Source organism: Homo sapiens, chromosome 9 (genome assembly GCF_000001405.40).
Source record: "Homo sapiens chromosome 9, GRCh38.p14 Primary Assembly".
NCBI lineage: Eukaryota > Metazoa > Chordata > Mammalia > Primates > Hominidae > Homo > Homo sapiens.
Genome location: NC_000009.12, coordinates 18,407,879 through 18,413,780, shown reverse-complemented (window position 1 = coordinate 18,413,780; position 5,902 = coordinate 18,407,879). Strand labels below are relative to the sequence as shown.

General features: G+C 37.0%; 1 protein-coding gene across 11 annotated transcripts in view; it reads right to left on the bottom strand.

Moving 5' to 3' along the window:
* Positions 1-5,902, bottom strand: part of ADAMTSL1 (ADAMTS like 1) — a 1,004,318-nt gene that overhangs the window by 497,170 nt on the left and 501,246 nt on the right. The window lies entirely within an intron of this gene.

Here is a 5,902-nt window from a genome sequence, read left to right as displayed (position 1 = left end):
AAGCTGTGTGAGGAAAGAGACTTTACAACCAAGACTTTGAAGCTACAACAATTCAATAATAAAAGAGAATGAAGAGTTGGGCTCTGGTGTAATTGAAACTTTTTCTTCCATCTTTCCTTCCTTAAAAACAAATCATAAGTCAATATACTGTACCAGATGTGCTGAGATAATTCTCCCAATAGAAAACACCTAAAATGCTATGGAAAATATTTAAAATTATTTTTTTGTTGAAGTCACAGCTGAGCTGGTGGCAAAATAACTATTACAGACACAGAATCGGTAGATAAGCATGTTTTCAAAAAGAAAACATTATCCTGGCCGGGCATGGTGGCCCACACCTGTTATCCCACCAGTTTGGGAGGCTGAGGCGGGTGGATCACCTGAGGTCAGGAGTTTGAGACCAGCCTGGCCAACATGGTGAAACCCCATCTCTACTAAAAATACAAAAATTAGCCAGGTGTGGTGGCGGGCGCTTGTAATCCTAGCTACTCAGGAGGCTGAGGCAGGAGAATCATTTGAACCTAGGAGGCGAAGGTTGCAGCAAGCCAAGATTGCAGCAAGCCAAGATTGCGCCACTGCACTTCAGACTGGGCAATAAGAGCGAAATTCCATCTCAAAAAAAAAAAAAAAAAAATTATCCTTAGAGAACTTACAGGTAAATAAACAAGCAGTTGAAGAAACAGGTAATTCTTCTCTTACACAAATTAGTTCAGAGTATAGAAAAAGGTAAAACACGCCTTAACTTTTCTATGAGCCTACTAAAAACTTGGTAACAAAAAACGACAAGGCAATGTGTATAGAAAACACACACACATAGATATCTCTAACATCACTCTTGGATATAGATGCAAAAATCACATACGAAATATCAGCAAATCATACCTATTTAAAGGAACCAGAGCTTCTTGAAGAAATAGCTGACTCTATATCTGATAAAGGCAAGAAAACAAGAAAAAAATAGCTTAGCCTGGAACATCTTGTTGTTCCAGAAAGCAGAGGCTTTTAAACATGAATGAAATTATGTCAAAAGGAAATAGAATAAATGGAGAAGGGGCTTCTAGTGGCCTAATATGGGATAACTTGAGAATCAAAAGGAATAACTCTGTTGGATGGAAACACATCAAAACTATAAAAATCCATAGTAGCAAAAACGCAAAACCACAACCACCTCATAGATCATCACTGGTGGTTGTTAGGACAAAAATACATAGTCTGAAAGTTGACAAATAAAGGAAAAGAATGAAGCATTTATCCTATCTTTCCTGTGTGAATCTAAAAAGTTGACAAGGAAATGTTCTTTTATGAAAAAGAGTTAATAAATGCAAGATTCAGGATAGAATGAGAGAATCATCATTTTACAACCAGTAATGAAATAATACATGTGGGTAATAATTGTAGATGGATGCTAAAACCATTAGGTAAATGACAATGGGGGACTTTACAATGGCTGATCCCACCTGTGTCCACTGATTAATCTTAACATCACCAGTGTTGGACAATCAGATATTTTGTACCTATCACAATATGATGCAATAGGAAAAGCACAGTTCCACTTATGAAGTGTTCTTGCCGGAAAAACGGAACCTAAATTAAATAATGCCTCTAGATCTGAATTTTGGTTAACAGGAAAAGTGGGGACTAGAAGGATAAGTTAAATGGTGCCATGAGGAAGCAATTAGCAAAATCCAGAATGAATATTCTAGGACAAATGACCCAGTTTCCCTGACAAGTCAATGTCTTGAATAAAAGCGAATGAATGGTATAGAGACTGCTATAAAGAAGCTTTAAGAGACCTAAATGTGATGTGCAATTTCCAGTGTATCAATCTCCTCTTAGATAATGATGTGGAGAGGACAAAATTACATAAAAAGTACCTCAGAGACTTTCCTGAAAATATGAGTATAAAATAGGTATTAGATTATATTAAGGAACTTCCATTAATTGTTTTGGGTGTAATAATGGGATGGCTGCTACATATTCTAAAAGTGCCTACCAGTTAGTGATGCATATTATGATATTTATGGGTGAAATGACATGATGTCTAAGATTTGCTTTTAAATACACTAAAAAAATGGGGGTCATGGAAGGATAGATGAAGAAAGAATAGCAAAATACTGATATTTTTTAAGGCTGGGTGATAACATTAGGTGTGTTTTACTATTCTTTTATTGTATATATAACGATTCTGATAATAAATCTAGAAATTATATACATATATTATAATCATTTTGAACTGATTGAAAAAATTTAAGGTCTGTTTCACATAGAAAATCTACCCATCAGGCCAGGTATGGCGGCTCACGCCTATAATCCTAGCACTTTGGGAAGCCAAGGTGGGTGGATCACTTGAGTCCAGGAGTTTGAGACCAGCCTGGGCAACATGGTGAAACCCAGTCTCTATAAAAAAACAAAAATTAGCCAGGCATGGTGGCACGTTTGTAGTCCCACCCCTCTTACTTGGGAGGCTGAAGTGGAAGGGTCGTTTGAGTCTGGGATGTGAATGCTGCAGTGAGTCGAGATTGCACCATTGCACTCCAACCTGGGCAACAGAGAGAAACCCTGTCTCAAAAAATAAATAAATAAAAATAAATAAATAAATAAATAAATAAATAAATAAAGGGCTGGGTGCAGTGGCTCACGCCTGAAATCCCAGCACTTTGGGAGACCAAGGTGGGTGGATGATGAGGTCAGGAGATTAAGACCATCCTGGCCAACATGGTGAAACGCCATTTCTATTAAAATACAAAAAAAAAACCAAACAAAAAAAAACAACTAGCCAGGCGTGGTGGTGTGCGCCTGTAGTCCCAGATACTTTGGAGGCTGAGGCAGGAGAATCGCTTGAACCTGGGAGATGGAGGTTGCAGTAAGACAAGATTGCACCACTGCACTCCAGCCTGGTGACAGAGCAAGACTGTGTCTAAAAAAAAAAAAAAAGAAGAAGAAGACAGAAAATCTACCAGTCGATTAAATACATTAACAGATTAAAAGATTCAGGGCAAAGACATAGAGGCAGAAATACCATTTGACCCAGCAATCCCATTACTGGGTATATACCCAAAGGAATGCAAATAATTCTAAGATATTAATACATGTATATGTTTGTTCATTGTAGCACTATTTACAATAGCAAAGTTATGGAATCAACCTGAATGCCCATCAATGATAGAATAAAGAAAATGTGGTATATATGCACCATGTAATACTATGCAGCCATAAAAAGGAATGAGATCATGTCCTTTGCAGGGACATGGATGTCATTGGAAGCCATTATTCTCAGCAAACTAACACAGGAACGGAAAACCAAACACCACATGTTCTCACTTGTAAGTGGGAGATGACTGATGAGAATACATGGACACATGGCGGAGAACAACACACACTGGGCACCTGTTGGGGGCTGTGGGGGGTGGGAGAGCATCAGGGGAGAGGGAGAAATCAGGAAGAAGAGCTAATGGATGCTTAATAACTAGGTGATAGGATGATCTGCACAGTAAACCACCATGGCACACGTTTACCTATGTAACAACCCTGCACATCCTGCAAATGTACCCTTGAGCTTAAAATAAAAGTTGACAGAAAAAAAAAGGAAGTAAAAAAAAAAAGATTCAGGGACTAATTAGATCCAGGAGTTGTTTAATAATATTCAACAATGATTCATAATAAAATATTTAAACTAAGGATAGGATTAAACATTTGTTTAATGTAATAAAGGGTATCTACAAAAGTGTACATTAAACGCCAAGCTCAATATTAAAATATTAAAAGTATTTCATTTAAACTCAGGAAGAAAGCAAAGATACTTGTAATTGGGACTGTATTATAACGTATATCCTAGCTGTATAGTTTGAAGAGAGTAAAATAAATAATCTGTAGGAATAGGAAAGAAACAAATTTTCACTATATATATGTATACATATATAAATTTTCATTATATAGTATAGGTACATATATAAATTTTCATTATATATATAAAAAATTTGGAGTCTTCTAGAGAGTCATAACATGTATGTATGTATACATATATGTTATGTATATATACATGATACTTATATGTATACATACATACATGTTATGGCTGTCTAGTTTGAAGACTCCAAAACTGACTACCATGAGTTTTAACTGGGAATAATAGAACTAGGAAAAGAACACAAAAAAACAGTTTAAACTGAGAATATCACAAAGAAGTGATAATCAAAAATTTTAACCCTGTATATCTTCCTGTTGTATTTAACATTAATCTACAGCTTAATTTTTAATGACTGCATGGCATGCAAATGGAAGTATATGATTAGAATGTCAGTTTTTGATTAGGTTGTGGGATCTTAGGTAAATCCCTCATTTCTTTGGATGTCAGTTTTCTTTTTCTTTTCTTTTTCTTTTTTTTTTTTTTTTTTTTTGAGACGGAGTTTCAATCTTGTCACCCAGGCTGGAGTGCAGGGGCGCAATCTTGGTTCACTGCAACCTCTGCCTCCCAGGTTCAAGCGATTCTCCCACTTCAGCCTCCCCAGTAGCTGGGATTACAGGCATGCACCACCATGCCTGGCTAATTTTGTGTTTTTAGTAGAGATGAGTTTTCACCATGTTGGTCAGGCTGGTCTCAAACTCCTGACCTCAGGTGATTTGCCTGCTTTGGCCTCCTGGAGTGCTGGGATTACAGGTGTGAGCCACTGTGCCCGGCCTGGATGTCAGTCTTCCGATTTGAAAAATAGATTCACAGATTACATGATCAATAATATTCCTTATAGTTCTAATTTCCATGATCTTAGTAAGTTAAAAGAGCAGGAAAAAAATCTTCAGGTGTATCAAAGTAAACCTATAAAACTCCTATGAAAATTGTTTGATCTCTCTCTCATTTAAACTTATTTTATATGATCCTATATTATATTTTACTCTTAAAAGGTTTAGGTTCAGTTAGCACAATTATTTCTATCACAGCAGAACATATTTCTTCCAACTCCTTGTTTTCTCTTATGCTTGACTGCCTGACAACATTTTATGTCCAATAAATGCCTGCTGTAATGAGAAATCTTTGTGGATAGCAATGGGGATAGTTGTGATATTTACTAACAACTTGAAAAGTAGAAGTGTGAGATTTCATATCTAGAATGAGACAGAACTGAACATACTTTTGTTTCAATAATTGTTTTTATAATATTTTCAGTAGGGTCTGCCTCATCCATTAGACTGCAAGCTCTAGAAGAGCAGGGAACGCACTTGTTTTTTCTATATGGTATCACCAGGGCCCAGTATAGTGACCAGCACATACTAGGTACTTAATATACTTCTTTTTTTTTCTGTGGGTGGGGGGTGCGGAGAGTGTCTCACTCTATCACCCAGGCTGGAGTGCAGTGGCACCGTGTCAGCTCACTGCAACCTCTGTCTCCTGGGTTCAAGCAATTCTCCTGCCTCAGCCTCCCAAGTCGCTGGGATTACAGGTGCCTACCACCATGCCTACCTAATTTTTAAATATTTTTAGTAGAGACAGTGTTTCACCATGTTGGCCAGGTTGGTCTCAAACTTCTGACCTCAGGTGATCCTCCCACCCTGGCTTCCCAAAGTGCTGGGATTGCAGGTGTCAGCCACAGCGCCTGGCCCTTAATATACTTCTGAAATGAAAGGATGGATAGCTGTTCCTCTCAGCTTGAACTTAAAGAAAATTATCTATGTTTCTAAAATCTATCTTTAGCCATAGGCTATAATACTCTACTCATATTTTAATTGATACAAACATCACAATGTACTTCATAGTGACTCAAAATTTTCTAAATTATGTAGATATATGTAGTATATGTATGTAAATTTTAAAAAAATGTTACAGTCTTTTTTATTCGAACTGAAACATCCCCTATAACATTGCAGTCTTCCCTAGTTACATCCCCATAAGGTTCCTTCTTCTCCTAGC